The 16819-nt window shown below is 39.2% G+C and overlaps 4 annotated features.

Moving 5' to 3' along the window:
* Positions 2539-2708: an enhancer, noted in NCBI's record as "experimental_105573 CRE fragment used in MPRA reporter constructs". NCBI's record gives its function as "activates a minimal promoter by MPRAs in K562 erythroleukemia cells, with activity observed for the non-introgressed 9:113886074 variant allele {active_cell/tissue: K562}" and the evidence as "EXISTENCE:reporter gene assay evidence [ECO:0000049][PMID:34662402]".
* Positions 8497-8666: an enhancer, noted in NCBI's record as "experimental_105563 CRE fragment used in MPRA reporter constructs". NCBI's record gives its function as "activates a minimal promoter by MPRAs in K562 erythroleukemia cells, with activity observed for the introgressed 9:113880116 or rs872068 variant allele {active_cell/tissue: K562}" and the evidence as "EXISTENCE:reporter gene assay evidence [ECO:0000049][PMID:34662402]".
* Position 8581: a transcriptional cis regulatory region, noted in NCBI's record as "Neanderthal adaptively introgressed variant 9:113880116 (GRCh37/hg19 assembly coordinates) or rs872068 in the experimental_105563 CRE". NCBI's record gives its function as "modulates activity of the experimental_105563 enhancer by MPRAs in K562 erythroleukemia cells {active_cell/tissue: K562}" and the evidence as "EXISTENCE:reporter gene assay evidence [ECO:0000049][PMID:34662402]".
* Positions 12362-12531: an enhancer, noted in NCBI's record as "experimental_105528 CRE fragment used in MPRA reporter constructs". NCBI's record gives its function as "activates a minimal promoter by MPRAs in K562 erythroleukemia cells, with activity observed for both the introgressed and non-introgressed 9:113876251 variant alleles {active_cell/tissue: K562}" and the evidence as "EXISTENCE:reporter gene assay evidence [ECO:0000049][PMID:34662402]".

Genomic DNA, 16819 nt, shown 5'->3' with positions numbered 1-16819 from the left:
AAATTGACAAATGGGATCTAATTAAAGAGCTTCTGCACAGCAAAAGAAACTACCATCAGAGTGAACAGGCAACCTACAGAATGGGAGAAAATTTTTGCAATCTACTCATCTGACAAAGGGCTGCTATCCGGAATCTACAAAGAACTCAAACAAATTGACTAGAGAAAAACAAACAACCCCATCAAAAAGTAGGCAAAGGATATGAACAGACAGTTCTCAAAAGAAGACATTTATGCAGCCAACAGACACATGAAAAAATGCTCATCATCACTGGCCATCAGAGAAACGCAAATCAAAACCACAGTGAGATACCATCTCACACCAGTAAGAATGGCGATCATTAAAAAGTTAGGAAACAACAGGTGCTGGAGAGGATGTGGAGAAATAGGAACACTTTTACACTGTTGGTGGGACTGTAAACTAGTTCAACCATTGTGGAAGACAGGATCTAGAACTAGAAATACCATTTGACCCAGCCATCCCATTACTGGGTATATACCAAAAGGATTATAAATCATGCCGCTATAAAGACACATGCACACGTATGTTTATTGCAGAATTATTCACAATAGCAAAGACTTGGAACCAACCCAAATGTCCGACAATGATAGACTGGATTAAGAAAGTGTGGCACATATACACCATGGAATACTATGCAGCCATAAAAAAGGATGAGTTCATATCCTTTGTAGGGACATGGATGAAGCTGGAAACCATAATTCTCAGCAAACTATCGCAAGGACAAAAAACCAAACACCGCATGTTCTCACTCATAGGTGGGAATTGAACAATGAGAACACTTGGACACAGGAAGGGGAGCATCACACACTGGGGCCTGTTGTGGGGTGGGGGGAGGGGGGAGGGATAGCATTAGGAGATATACCTAATGTAAATGACGAGTTACTGGGTGCAGCACACCAACATGGCACATGTATACATATGTAACAAACCTGCACGTTGTGCACATGTACCCTAGAAATTAAAGTATAAAAAAAAAAAACAGTACCTAACACATAGCAAAAAAAAAAAAAAAAAAAAAAAAAAATCATTTGCAGGCTGGGCGCAGTGGCTCATGCCTATAACCCCAGCACTTTGGGAGGCCAAGGCGGGTGGGTTACCTGAGGTCAGGAATTTGAGACCAGCCTGGCCAACATGGTGAAACCCTGTGTATACTAAAAATACAAAAATTAGCTGGACGTGCTGGCGGGCGCCTGCAGTCCCAGCTACTCGGGAGGCTGAGGCAAGAGAATTTCTTGAACCCGGGAGGCGGAGGTTGCAGTGAGCCGAGATCGTGCCATTGTACTCCAGCGTGAGTGACAGAGACTCCATCTCAAAAAAAAAAAAAAAAAAAAAGAAAATCATTTGTAGAAATTTCTTCATGAAGACCATATTTGGATAGATCATCTGTTTTAGTTCTTGCTATCTAAAAGCAGGGCCACATAAACCTTATTTCTACATGCATTTTTGTTCTAATTATAATGTGTTTGCTTCCTCACCCTCATATTCATTATTTACCCTTCTCTGCACTGTTACTTACCTTGGAAAAGTGACCTCTTCCTGATGTATCTCCAAGGCTCCCTTGCTACCAACTTCGCACTAGGTTTGGCTGATGGAGATAAGAAGGTGAGATGAGAGAAAGCTCAGAATATTTATTCCTTGATCCTTTCCACTTCAGTGCTACATTTCTAGCAACAGCTGTGACTGTCCATAAATACAGCTCCCCACTGGCAACTCTCTTCTCACTGGGCTCCAGTAACACTATTTCCGCCCTTTGTCTCTCAGACCTAATGGCTCCCTGTTAATGCTAACTCTGGGTACCTCAAAATCTATTAACACTGCCCATATATTTATAAGTAGTGTTTTAATTGAAATTCTTAATTTTAGCTACTGAGATGGATTCTATTTATTATCAGAACTCTGACTGATACCAGGAACCAAAACTGGTCCCATAATCAAACCCTGTGGATAAGAATTCTTGGACAAGATTATTCTCTTATTTGATGAAAATAACCTCCCAGCTTGGGGTTATGGTGGAGGATGAAAATATGGTAACTGCTGCATGCAGTGGCATCATGATTACTGAAGTTATTGCCAGCAGTATTTCTGACTGCAGTTGCTGTCAGAGAGCAAATGTGATAGTTCTACTGGAGCAAATTAACACATTTCCTGGCATTTTTAGATGAAACTATTGACCTGGAAAATGGATTTTGTTCAATTCTAATTCTAATGCGTAATTACAATTATTAGCAAATTTATTTATTTTTTATTTTTTTATTTTTTAGACTGAGTATTGCTCTGTCACCCAGGCTGGAGTGCAATGGCGCCATCTTAGCTCACTGCAACCTGCGTTTCCCGGGTTCAAGTGATTCTCCTTTCTCAGCCTCCTGAGTAACTGGTGGTATCTGCCACCATGCCCGGCTAATTTTTTTTGTGTGTTTTTAGTAGAGGTGGGGTTTCCCCATGTTGGCCAGGCTGGATTTGAACTCCTGACCTCAAGTGATCCACCTGCCTTAGCCTCCCAATGGTAGGGAGAATAGTATCCCTTCACTGCCTTGACTTTGTGCTATGCTGACTCTCCTGATATCTATTATCTTACAGTCTGGCAGAGCTTGGGGATCTTGATATATCACAGAACATCATGCTGGTTTGTTATATACGTGACCTTATGCTAATTTGATTTGGTAAGCAGGATGTAAAAAGTGGCCTACATGCCTTAGTAAGATATATGCATGCCAAATGATGGGAAATAAACTCTGACTGTTCAGCCAGCATATATGAGACATGAAAAGTCCAGAACTGATGACATGAGATATGTGGATGGACCTTACAGAATGGCCAAAATGGGCGAAGATATCTGTGTCTTATCACATGGTACCTACTATAGAGGGAGATCTCAGAATTTAGGTTGACAAGATGATCCATTCTGTGGAAATCAGCTAGCCTCTTTCCTTCAATGACTTGTTTGATGAATTTATGCACAAAGTGACCATGTTGGCAGGGTTGAAAATTATACGTGGGCTTAGAGTGTGGATTTCCCCTTACCAACGCTAATTTTGCTTACTCTGATGATTGTCTACCCTACCAATAAATGAGACCAGTGCTAAGGTCCTGATATGGCACCATTTCCCAAGGTGACCTGCCGTCGTCATTCTAGAAGGGGTAACAATTTATCCTCAAGTACATGCATACAAATTCCTGTGGCTTTATAGACTGCTCTATTTATTGTCATGGTACTCCATACAACATTTCTGACCAAGAAATGGTGAAAGAATTATGTTAAAGGGCATGTGCCTAAGAAATTCACTAGTAGTACCATGTACCATAGAAGCAGTGAGTGACTTGTTAAAGGGAGCTGGGAGAAAAAATCCTGCACAATTAGGATATTTTCCTATAGGATGCAGCATATGCTTTAGATCAGCACAACTATTTATGATATCACATAATTCTTTAGGCTTTTAAAATATCTGGTCACTGTTTATCTCAGAACTCTTAAGAGTTGGCTTGTTCTAGGCCACCCCTTCCACTGATCTGAGCATTCTTCAGGAACTTTCATTCACATATACACGAAAATTATGTCTCTAAAGTACCTCAAACACCATATATTGTCTACAATCAATAGTAATAGCTTGTTAAAAGCTTTTAGTAGTTCAACCAAAACAATGCAAATATTTCTTAATAGGGTTGTGCTATTGTCAGTGTCTATTTCTTTCTATGTTTCATTAAAATGTATATAAATACTCATGAATATTATTCTTTCATTTTGTAATAGATCTTTTGTTAATATGAATTTTCTTCTTAGGCCCAATTCATGTTGTTTGCATTTAGTTCAAATTTATCTGATATTAATATTACTCTTGCTTTATTTTTTCATATTAGCTTGTATCTTTGCTCATAGTCTTATTTTAGCCATTTTAATACATTTCTTGCTTCAAAATTTTTTCATAGAAATGGAGCTTTGTTTTCTGATACATCAGAAGGATTTTTCAATTTCCTAAGGAAGGTGATTCAATTTACATTTCTTATGGTAGATTTATTTATTTGTTTATTTATTTGCTTCTGAGATTTTCTATGTTTTCCTGTTTGGCCATTTTCCTCTCTCTGTTTTCTATCTTTTGCTGTATAGACTATGTTTGTTTGCTTTTACCTTTGTAACATTTTGGAATTTTAGTATGTGCTTTGAAAATTTTCAAAAGTATCCCTTAAACCTATTTCTTTGATTACCAGAGAGTTGGATATGCAACAGGATGTTCCCCTGCCATTATTTTACTTCTTTTCTACCTCTCATTAGCTGTTTGCATAAAAATAAAATGGAGATATTAATCCATTTTTTTTCCAGAAAGAATATATGGATAGTACATCTTCTAAGCATTTGTATCTCTTGAAGTATGAAGTTCTTGCCTCCATTTCTGACAGGCAATTTGGCTGGAATTATTTGAAATAATCCCTGTTTGATTATCTGCTGGCATTTTAGTGGGAGGTGAGTATATATAAATATCAGATAAGGCCAGGCACTTTGGGAGGCCTAGGTATGAGGATCAGTGAGCTCAGGAGTTGTAGCTTGTTGTCCCAGCTACACGGGAGGCTGAGGTGGGAGGATCACTTGAACTCGGCAGTTCAAGATTGCAGTCAGCCATGATTGCACTACTGTACTCCAGCATTGGCAACAGAGTGAGACCCTGATACAGTTTGGCTGTGTCCTCAGCTAAGTCTCATCCTGAATTGTAGCTCCCATAATCCCCATGTGTCATGGGAGGGACTTGGTGGGAGGTAATTGAATCATGGGGGCAGGTTTTTTTTCCTGTGCTGTTCTCTCATGATAGTGAATAAGTCCATGAGGTCTGATGGTTTTATAAAGGGCAGGTCCCCTACACACACAATTTTGCCTGCTGCCATGTAGGATATGTCTTTGCTCCTCCTTCACCTTCTGCCATGATTGTGAAGCTTCCCCAGCCATGTGGAAATGTGAGCCCATTAAACCTCTTTTTCTGTATAAATTACTCAGTCTTGGGTATTTCTTCATAGCAGTATGAAAATGGACTAATACAGAAATTGGTATTAGGAGTGGGCTGCTGCTGTAAAGATACCTGAAAATGTGGAAGCAACTTTGGAACTGGGTAACAGACAGAGGTTAGAACAGTTTGGAGTACTGAGAAGAAGATAGGAAAATCTGGGAAAGTTTGGAACTTCCTAGAGACTCGGAGGGCTCAGAAAGCAGGAAGATGTGGGGAAGTTTGGAACTTCCTAGAGACTTGTTGAATGGCTTTGACCAAAATGCTGATAGTGACATGGACAATAAAGTCCAGGCTGTGGTGGTCTTAGATGGACAAGAGGAACTTTCTGGGAACTGGAATAAAGGTCTCTCTTGCTATGCAAAGAGAGTGGTGGCATTTTGCCCCTACCCTAGAGATCTGTGGAAGTTTGAACTTGAGAGACATGATTTAGGGTATCTGGCAGAAGAAATTTCTAAGTGGCAAAGTGTTCAAGAGGAAGCAGAACATAAAAGTTTGAAAAATTTGTAGCCTGATGATACAGTAGAAAAGAGAAACCCATTTTCTGAGGAGAAATTCAAGCCAGCTGCAGAAATTTGCATAAGTTACAAGGAGCCAAATGTTAAACACCAAGACAATCAGGAAAATATCTCCAGGGCACGTCAGAGACATTTGTGGCAGCTGCTTCCATCACAGGCCTGGAGGCCTAGGGGGAAAAATGGTTTCCTGGGCTCAGTCCAGGGCCCCCCTGCTGTGTGCAGCCTCGGGACTTGGTGCCCAGCATCCCAGCCACTCCAGCTGTGGCTAAAAAGGGCCAAGGTACAGTTCGGGCTGTGGCTTCAGAGGGTGCAAACCCCAAGCCTTGGCAGCTTCCATGTCGTATTGAGCCTGTGGGTGCACAGAAGTCAAGAGTCGAGGTTTGGGAACCTCTGCCTAGATTTCAGAGGATGTATGGAAACACCTGGATGTCCAGGTAGAGGTGTGCTGCAGGAGGGGAGCCCTCATGGAGAACCTCTGCTAGGGAAGCGTAGAAGGGAAATGTGGGGTGGGAGCTCCCACACAGAGTTCCCACTGGGGCACTGCCTAGTGGAGCTGTGAGAAGAGGGCTACTTTCTCCAGATCCCAGAATGGTAAAGCCACTGACAACTTGCACCCAGCACCTGGAAAAGCCACAGACACTCAATGCCAGCCTGTGAAAGCAGCCAGGACTGGGGCTGTACCCTGTAAAGCCACAGGGGTGGAAATGATCAAGACCATGAGAACCCACCTCTTTCATCAGCGTGACATGGATGTGAGACATGGAGTCAAAGAAGATTATTTTGGAGCTTTAAGATTTGACTGCCCTGCTAGATTTCAGACTTGCATGGGGCCTTTAGCCCCTTTGTTTTGGCCAATTTCTCCCATTTGGAATGGGTGTATTTACTCAGTGCCTGTGCCCCCATTATATCTAGGAAGTAACTAACTTGCTTTTGATTTTACAGGCTGATAGGAAAAAGGGACTTTTGAGATAATGCTAAAATGAATTAAGATTTTGGGGGAACTGTTGAGAAGGCATGATTGGTTTTGAAATGTGAGGACATGAGATTCAGGAGGAGGCAGGGGCAGAATTATATGTTTTGGCTGTGTCCCCACCCAAATCTCATCTTGAATTGTAGCTCCCATAATCCTCACATGTTGTGGGAGGTACCCAGTGGGAGGTAATTGAACCATGGGGGGAGGTTTTTCTCATGCTGTTTTCATGATAGTGATTAAGTCTCAGGAGATCTGATGGTTTTATAAAGGGCAGTTCCCCAGCACATGCTCTCTTGCCTGCCACCATGTAAGATGTGCCTTTGCTCCTCCTTCACCTTCTGCCATGATTGTGAGGCCTCCCCAGCCATGTGGAACTGTGAGTCCATTAAACCTCTTTTTCTTTGTAAATTACCCAGTCTCAAGTGTTTTTTCATAGCAGTATGAAAACGGACTAATACAGACCTTGTCTCAAAAAAAAAGTAGCAGATAAAAATGGCTACAAGGAATCTAAAACATGGTAATTAAAATTCACATTTGAGGAGAAAATTCAGACTGTGGGAAATCTCATCAATAAAGTAGAATACAAAATGGATATGTTCTTGTAAAATGCTGAAGAAAAGGTTAATGATTAAAGAGAAAATGATAGCTGTAGAAGAGACTCACAGACTCTTCTGGTTTTATTGTAAACCAGTTATCCTACAGAAGAGACCCAGAACAAGTAGAAAAATCGAAACAATTAAAGCTGCAAGGTAGGAAAATATTCCTGAGCAAAATTAATGAAAAGAAATCCATAATTAAATATATCTTGGAAACATTTTTAATTGTAGGGTTGAAGACAAAAATGCATATTTCTAGGCAAATAAAACAGATCATTTAAATTAGAAGATACTTATTTGATTTAGTTTGTGATTAATTTTTGTCTTTTGTTTTCTTTGTCTTCATAGTCTTTTTAGTAAGAAGTAGACAAGCTAAATGGGAAACTGCTAGCCAGATGTCATTATAATATAAAATCATTTTACAGAAATACTTTAGAAAAGCTAGGATAAAGTTTAGTTATTGTGAACTATGTTAACTGTCCAATATATAGCTATTACTCCTTGCAATTGGAGGTTACTGACCAACAAATGACACTGGTGCCCTTTTGCTGTCTGAGTCTGTCCTGTGGCATGTATTTGTTTTATTACAGAGATTTCAATTCAAATTAGAAGTTTATGGCACTACATTCCAATTGAATGAGATGCAAACTCCATTTACAACATAGAACAATCAGCTATGAACAAGAATGGGTGGGTGGGAAAGCATTTTCTTCCATAATTTTTACATAATTTCTTAAATTCTTATTTGCCCTTGAATACACTGGCCTGAATTGGTGTCATTCATATTGGCCCTCTGAAGTCAAATTGTTGCCACAAGGATTTAATATGCAGCTTGGCATACTAGTCATAGATGATTAGTTTTAAAATCTTGGTCTTTACAGGGTCTAGATACTGAGTGTCTCATGGAATAGTCATGTTCTCCAGGAATTTGAAATGTTTTTCACTGGATAGAGACTGTTGACCAGCAGAGTCTGGTTTGCAGTGATTCAGCTGAAGTAGTTGCTCTCTATCATCAGGGACTCAGAGGAGACAACCTGTGCTATGATTTTACTGTGTTCTCCATGGTTCGTGTGTTGGAAACTTGATTCCTGATGTGGTATTGCTGGGAAATGGGGCCTAATAGGAGGTGTTTGGGTCATGGGAGTACCACCTCATGAATGGATTAGTGTCTTTCTCTTGGGAGTGGGTTCATTATCAAGGGAGTGAGTTCCTTATAAAAGAACAAATTCAGCCATCTCCTTCTTTCACCCTATTTTGCCCTTCCATCTTCCACCATGGGATGATGGAGAGCAAAGGCCCTCATCAGACAACAGCCCCTCAATTTTGGACTTCCTTTCCGCCAGAACTGTGAGCCAAATAAATTTATGTTCATTGTAAATTACCCATCTGTAGTCTTCCGTTACAGCAGCACAAAATGGACTAAGATAAACCCCTTCTAGCAAAAACAAGCAAATAAACAAAAGGCCATCTCGGCCTTCTGGACCACTTAATCTCTGTGTGCATTTTAGCTAACAAGTCATTGAGGGGCATGGAGAGCATAATGTTAGTAGGTGGAGATTCACGTATCATCTCTTCCTACAATGTTTTAATACTAGGAAATGCTTTGAAGTGTCAAACAGTATAATATAACCTAGAGTGACAGGAATCCCTTGCAAACCCTGCTGGGATGCTGCCCTAGGAAAGGAATTATGGCTCAAAGCTACTAAGTTATTGAATGTATTCTGTCCTCAGAGCACTTGGGTATAAATCTTCTCCCAAATAGCTGTATGTACTGATTGACTTCCTTTTTGACTTCTGTTTCCTCATCTCTAAAACAAAATGTCTGAGCTTGGTCGTTATAAGGAGTAATGCTAAGGGGCAAAACATATACAGTCACAGTCATATTGTGAGGGGATTGGTTCCAGGAATGCTGCAGATTCCAAAATCTATGGATGCTCAAGTCCTTGATATAAAATGGCATAGTATTTGCATATAACCTCTGTATATCCTCTTGTGTACTTTATTATTTATTTATTTTTATTTTTTGAGATAGAGGCTTGCTTTATCACCCAGGCTGGAGTGCAGTGGTGTGAACTCGGCTCCCTGCAACCTTTGCCTCCTGGGTTCAAATGATTCTCGTGCCTCAGCCTCCTGAACAGCTGAGACTACAGCTGTGTGCCACCACACCCAGCAAAATTTTTGTATTTTTAGTAGATATGTGGTTTCACCATGTTGGCCAGCCTGGTCTTGAACTCCTCCTGACCTCAGGTGATCCTCCTGCCTCTGCCTCCCAAAGTGCTGGGATTACGGGCCTGAGCCACAGCACCTGGCCCCTCTTGTGTGCCTTAAATGATCCCTAGATTACTTGTAATACCTAATAAAATGTAAACACTATGTTAATAGTTGTTATGCTATGTCGTTTTTTATTTGTATTATTTTTATTGTTGCACTATTATTTATTTTTTTAAAAAATCTTTTCTGTATATGGTCAGTTGAGTCCACAGATTCAAAATCTGTGACCATGGAGAGCCAATTGTGCACTATCTAGTTATAACAGATGCTCAATAAATGTTACTAGAGCTCCCTCGATTCAATCTCAAGAGAAATAGAATGTGGATCCTTCTAGGTATTTCTGGGAGCAGTTAGAAAATTGCTTTCTATGAGGCCGGGTGCGGTGGCTCACGCCTGTAGTCCCAGCACTTTGGGAGGCCAAGGTGGGTGGATCATGAGGTCAGGAGATTGAGACTATCCTGGCTAACATGATGAAACCCCGTCTCTGCTAAAAATACAAAAAATTAGCCGGGTGTGGTAGCACATGCCTGGAGTCCCAGCTACTCGGGAGGCTGAGGAAGAATCACTTGAACCCAGGAGGTGGAGGTTACAGTGAACCAAGGTTGCACCACTACACTCTAGCCTGGGTGACAGAGTAAAACTCTGTTTCCAAAAAAAAAAAAAAAAAAAAAAATTGCTTTCTATGAATTAGATTTGATGATTTTTTTTTTCTAAAAATGAATGTGGCTGTTTTGGTTCAACAGTTAATAGTTGGGCAATCTGAAGAAGAAAGATCTATGCCTGTAACTTACATTGTTGGGGTGACCTTGAATTGGGGAAGAATCCTTTGTATTGATCAGAATTAGGTCCAGAGAGGCAATATTTTTATAGAATAATGAAAAAGTACAGATTTAAGAATGAAATTAAACCTAGCTTTGAGGTTCTCCCGCTTGCTAGCTGTGTAACCTTAAATAACTTCTGTTTGAGCTTTAATAAGAGATATCACTTGGGAAAGCAATGATTAATTTTCCTTTTTTTCCTCCCCTCTGAGTTCCATTGACTACCACAGTTCCATTGATTTCCTGTTGTTTTTCCTTCATAAAATGAATAATAATTAAAGGAAAGTTTTCTCCAATTACCCCCTTTCAATATATAGCTTATTTCATTTTTCATCTTCTATTTGAACTCTTCTCTGTATTCAGACTCATTATTATATAATCTATTTTCACACTAGCACCTCACTGCTTTGATTACTGTTACAGTGTTTTGCTTATGAATATGTTTGTTGGAACTTTAAAAATGTTTATTTCAATAGATCTAGAAGTCAATGTAGAAGTGAATTTTATGTCTTTACCTATCTGTTGATAATCATTGATGATGAATCTGTATATAATGTTGACCCTCATTCTATGTAGATTATGCAAGGGCAAGATAATCATTTTACATTCTACATGTATAATACATAATACTCCCCGTAATCTGCAACATATGTGTTACTGAATTCCTTTTTACAAATGGGAAAATTGAGGGTCAGAGTGATTCAATAGCTTGTTCTAAGTCGTATCTAAAAGGTGACATAGCGGCCGGGCGCGGTGGCTCATGCCTGTAATCCCAGCACTTTGGGAGGCTGAGGCGGGCAGATCACGAGGTCATGAGATCGAGACCATCCTGGCTAACACGGTGAAACCCCGACTCTACTAAAAATACAAAAAAACAAAAAAAAAATTAGCAGGGCGTGGTGGTGGGTGCCTGTAGTCCCTGCTACTCGGGTGGCTGAGGCAAGAGAATGGCGTGAACCTGGGAGGCGGAGGGTGCAGTTAGCCAAGACCGCACCACTGCACTCCAGCCTGGGTGACAGAGCGAGACTCCGTCTTGGAAAAAAAAAAAAGTAACATAGCTAGGAATTTAAAGCTAGGTCTTTTCCCATTGTACCATGATATCTTTTGTTTTTGATCTTCATTTCTCTCATTTTTTATACTTTACAGTTCATACAAATTTAACACTGGCTTTATTCGTAAGGTTTTGGTGGCTGTTCTTGGGGCAGTTGCAAATGACCTCTACATCCTACACTAGATTTAATAGATGTTAATACCATGTCATAAGTGCTTTAGGTTTTTCTTTTTATTAAAGAAATAAAATGTTACTGATACAGCTGAAGTCCATCTTTTCTTTTTCCTCCTTCCCAGGAGCTAGCCAGTATCCTGAAGTTTTACCACAAAAGTATATACCTATAAATATAGTACTCTAAATATGAATAATATAATCATATATCATTTCCTCATATATTTTAATTTTAAAAAGAATCAGACATCATTTTATCTGGAATTCAAGATGAACCAATAAGCAGATGTATTACTTTACAACAATCAGGGAGGAAAATCTACCAAAAGCATTATATTTAAAACAGATGCTCTGGTGTTTGAAGTGATTCAAAGAAAAACAATTTTTTTGATCATAGAATGAAAGAGGAAAAATGGTCACTTTCAAAAAAACATTTTTGTGTTACTTTATATTTTAAGACGGATATATGTTAAAGTATTTTCTTTGTTAAAACTAATCAAGTATGGAAAAATTAATAGTCAAAAAGGAAATAGAATAAAAGGCAACCCAAGAAGGCTTTCATGCATTTTGCATCGTGAGGACTATAAAATGTCCTGGCATAGAGTTAAAGACTCTGTGATTAAAGAAATTGTTCATGAACTAGATTAGTGCAGAGCATTTCTCCTTTGTCTAATTAAGCTTCCTGAATCATGGAATGTAATCTGTCAAAATGGACTCCCCTGTTTCCTAAGCGATTGACAGTAACTGGATATTAGCCGTGGCCCACAGCATCTAGGAAACTTCCAATTTATTTTCAAGTTTAGACACATAAAACCAAATATCTTTAGTCTCCTAGATAGATTCCATATTTGCCCTTATTCAACATTTTGTTGAATTTTACTATGTTTCTAATATTGTGTCATAGACATACCAAAATAAAACTAAGATGGGAAAACATAATTTAAGCTTGTTTACAATTCTTCTCTATTCTTACCTGGGCCATATGTTTACCCTGGCCTCAGCTCTATGCTAAGGCATGGCATTTCACAGTTACTTCACGGGGGTTTAGGATTCTTTTGTGGAATGCAGCCTCCAAATTATAGCCCCTGGAAGTCAGGAAAGATAAGGATGGAACTCAGGAAGTGGAAACATCCCTGGGCTATTAGCCTTCTGAAGCTTCCCAAACCCCTGTGACTGTCTCCCCAAGATGGCGCCCAGCCCTGACTTCCTCTCTTCTTTTTAGTTTGTCAGTTCTTTTGAAGTGAAGTGGCAGCTATAACTACAATTCCAAGCTTTTAGGGATATTAAAATTTACAGGACTGTAAATGTCTTGATTTGTCTTTAAAAATACCTATAGAATTCATGCTAGATATAACCAACTCTCTATACATAAGCCATAAAGCACTAATTTTGTTTTGTTTTATTTTCTTTTGTTTTTAAGAGATGGGGTCTCTCTCTTCCCCAGGCCGGAGTGCTAGAGTGCACTGGCATGATTACAGCTCACTGCAGCCTCGACCTCCTGGGCTCAATTGATCCTCTAGCCTCAGCCTCGTAAGTAGTTGGGACTACAGGCGTGTACCACCACATTTGGCTTTTTTTTTTTTTTTTTGGTATTTTTTGTAGAGACAAGGTTTTGCTATGTTGCCCAGGCTAGTCTCGAACTCCCAGGCTCAAGTGATCCTCCCGCCTTGGCCTCCCAAAGTGCTGGGATTGCAGGTGTGAGCCACTGCACCTGGCCATGAAGCGCTAATTTTCAAATACCTGATTGTGTTTGAAACAGTTTAAAGCAATCTTATAACCATTTCAGAATACCTAAGCATAAAGGAAAGTAAATAGCTAAATTCTTAGTAGTTAAATTGAGATATGTACAACAGATGTTTGAAATTATTGTTGATAAAATATGATTTTAGGAATAGTTTCTAAAATGATTGCTTTTAAAAAAATTGTATTAAACAACAGAAGAATCATTTTTTAAAGCTTCTCCCTGTCCAATAACCCAAGTTTTGAAATCAAACATGAAAACTGAAAATATATTAGAAAAAGAATTACTGATTTTCAAGCTCCATGAAAGACAGAGAAAAACATCAGAAGAAAAAAATTGTCAACACAGTTGTAAAAACTCAAATTTTATATGTAATTTGTCTTTTTATACTGAATATTAATTAATCCCTAAAAGAATATTTGCATATTAGATGGATACAAATAGGTGTCCTCTACACAGATGAAATTTCCAGGGCCTCTCTCCAAAAATCATCTCCTTCATTGGTCTATCATTGCCCAAACCACTGTCCCCAGCGCTATTAAACTTCCTGCCTGAAATTATCATCATTTAAAACCTCCTTGGTGAATTAGTCATTTGATGAGAGTACATTAAATTTAAAATACCTCATATTCTACTGAGCTGTGAGTATTTTTAAAAATTTCACTGTAATCTCATGGTGATCTCTTGCCTCTCATTCTTAAAATCCCAATTTGAGGTTCTATATTTTCCAAAACAAGATTTTAATTGGGTATTACTTCATTTAAAAATAATTATACTAAACCTAGTATATCTTAACATGAATAACATTTTAATTTAAAATAACTATATTTTCCAAGACAAAAGAATTTGGAAAGAAGAAATGCATTGTGTTATGTTTTTGCAAATGTAATATCTGGCTTTATAGACAGCTAGATTCTCACATCTACTTATGTATTCAATCTGCTGTGATACATTGTTTAGGCTGAGATTTATAAAAGTAGTTGGAAAAGTGAGAGTGTTTTATAGCCATTTCAGAAAATTTTAGATATTCTTCTTTGACACTATACCAAATGACATGTGATAGTTTCTTAAAGGTTAGTCGCAAGGTGAAATCTGAAACTGTATCAAGGAGCTTTTATACTCAATTATGTGAACAACCTATTGGTCTATTTTGTACTTTGAATGGACCTTTTATCCATTCATGATGTTAGAGTATTGATTCACTGAGTTATGTAGATCTTTCAAATGTTGACACATTTTATTATGTAACATTGAAACATCAAAAAGATTTATATCAACACCAATCTCAGAAAAACAATTTAAGTAACTTAAAGGTAGAAATGTCTTTAAGTACAATGGTACAGGTACAATTTTTCCAAAGTTGTGATTTTTGCTTGAAAGCTCAAATATTGTAATTAGCAATAAACACTGTCAGTTGTTTTTCTTGAGGTGATAGTCTTGCTTTTTTAATTTTCAAGAAAGATGCCTGTCAAACAACCAAATCTGGATAAGAATATTTGTCTTTCAGTTGTTCTTTCAAGTTAAAAAAAATCATGTTCCATGAGAAAAAAAAAAGCTAGTTCAGCTCGCTACTCAAAATTACACAAGTGTTTTTCTTCAATGAATATGTTACTTTGGTATGCTTTTTAACGCATGCTGCCAAGTTCATTATACAGAATATTAAAAAGTAATAAGATTTAATAAAATTAATACTTTTTGCTGCTTCATCACGGACATCTGAAAGTGAAACTGGCTTTCCCCTTGTGAATGTGTGGCAGTAAAGAATACAATGACTGCTAGTCTCTTAGTACATTTTGGTGTCCTGCCTTGATTTATGCCAGCAGTTTTGCCCAATATTGCTTTTGTACCATTAGTTCAAAAGTCAATGCAGTGAAAAAGGCATGATATCTTAGTATTCTTATGAAAATCATTTTTTACCTATGGACCTTCCGAAAAATCAGGTCTCAGGGATTCTAATTGGTATATAGACCATGCAATGGATTCTCGTCGACTCTGCCTCAACTAAGGTATTGGGGAAAGTAAAGGTCTTCACTTCTCCACTTCACTTCTTGAAAATTTCTCCAGTACTGATACGGAGCTGCAACAAGCTGTTAAGTTCAACGCCATGACAGGGGCTGCCCACAGAACCTGGAGTTACAACCTGCTGTTCTGGATATTCTTTATTCCTAGATAAGCTAAATTATCAGGAATAGGAAAATGAGATCCTTATAAAACCTTTCTTTCAGGTGCTAGGAGGATGGGAGGAGGAACAGCAGGAGGCATGGACTGATGTTTTGCCAAGTTCCTGCAGCCACAGGCTTCCTGGGAAGTATAATGGGCTTGTTGATCCAACACTTCTGAAAACCTGGATACCAAGGGATGCCAGAGGTTACTTTGCCTTGGAACTCTTCCACGCCAAAATTTGTAGCTTCTTCAGCCCCATTTACAGTTTTCAAACCCATATCCTTCTTCTAGTCCTATGAAACCACCCTTACTCCATCCTACCTCTGCCCAAGGTATTAAAGGGAGCTAAATGCGGGACGGGCTCCCTATACCATCATAGTCAGCTCTAACAGCCACAGAAATGGCTAGCAGAGTCCCTTCCAGGCTTCCGTTGGCCTTACTTGGAGAACAATGCAATTATGCTCATAGATGAAGCTTGCTTCCAAATAAAGAACATCCTAGAGAAATGGGACAGGCTGCATCTGAGCATGATATAATTCATGGTATAATTCTGGTGGCATTTTGGCTTTTCCCTGTTGCTGGCTTAAGATTCACCTTTCTTGAGTCTGCTAAGTTGGTTACCATTCATCTTTCTGTGATTTTAGTTTCCCCAAATTTGTTGTTGTTATTTTGCTCTGGGATGGGCTGGCTCTGGGATGATGACAATAGAGCTTTCTTTTTCCCCAGTGTCATGATGCCCTACTGTAGCCACGGTCTATACATGGAAAATTTGTCAGAATCACTACATGAGGACTGAGGGCTGCTTTACATGGTTGTAAAGTTTGTCCATTTGACAAAAGGTGTCTGGCCCAGGGAATGAACGGTGGTTAGCATTCCGCTCTGCTCTGCTCACTAAGCCATGCCCCCACAGTCTGGGTCTGTGCAGAGGGAGCATCTTTTTTATTGTCTCTACAGAGGGAGTACCTTTTACAAAGGGACTACATTTTTCTAGCTCATACAATGATGCTACTGTAGAAGGCAGCAGCTGCCCTATCAGGACTGGGCTTGGCCCATCCTGGGACCTGTGAGTGAGTGATATTTTCCTTCAAGGACTGCCAATGTGTGTCCTACTTAGCAGGATTACCTTTAAGGCCTTCCACTTGTCTGTTTACTTCTTGCCAAACAGACACCTGCACAGGGCCCTGGAAAAGTGGGCCAAGAGCTGTAGTTCCTCCCTGTTGGCTAACTGAACTATTTCCTCCCACCAAGTTCCAGCAACTAAGTTATCTCACCTTCCTGTAACCACATCAAACATTTATCCCATTCTGTACAGCAAACCATCATGGCACATGTATACCTACGTAAGAAAACTGCACGTTCTGCACATGTACCCCAGAACTTAAAGTATAATAAAAGAAGAAGAAAGAAATGGCAAGAATGAGCCAGGCGAGGTGGCTCACACCTGTAATCCCAGCACTTTGGGAGGCTGAGGTGGGTGGATCACCTAGGTCAGGAGTTCGAGATCAGCC

This window comes from Homo sapiens, chromosome 9 (assembly GCF_000001405.40).
Source record: "Homo sapiens chromosome 9, GRCh38.p14 Primary Assembly".
Taxonomy (NCBI): domain Eukaryota; kingdom Metazoa; phylum Chordata; class Mammalia; order Primates; family Hominidae; genus Homo; species Homo sapiens.
Note: the sequence above shows the minus strand (reverse complement) of the source record. Positions and strands in the feature narration are given on the sequence as shown.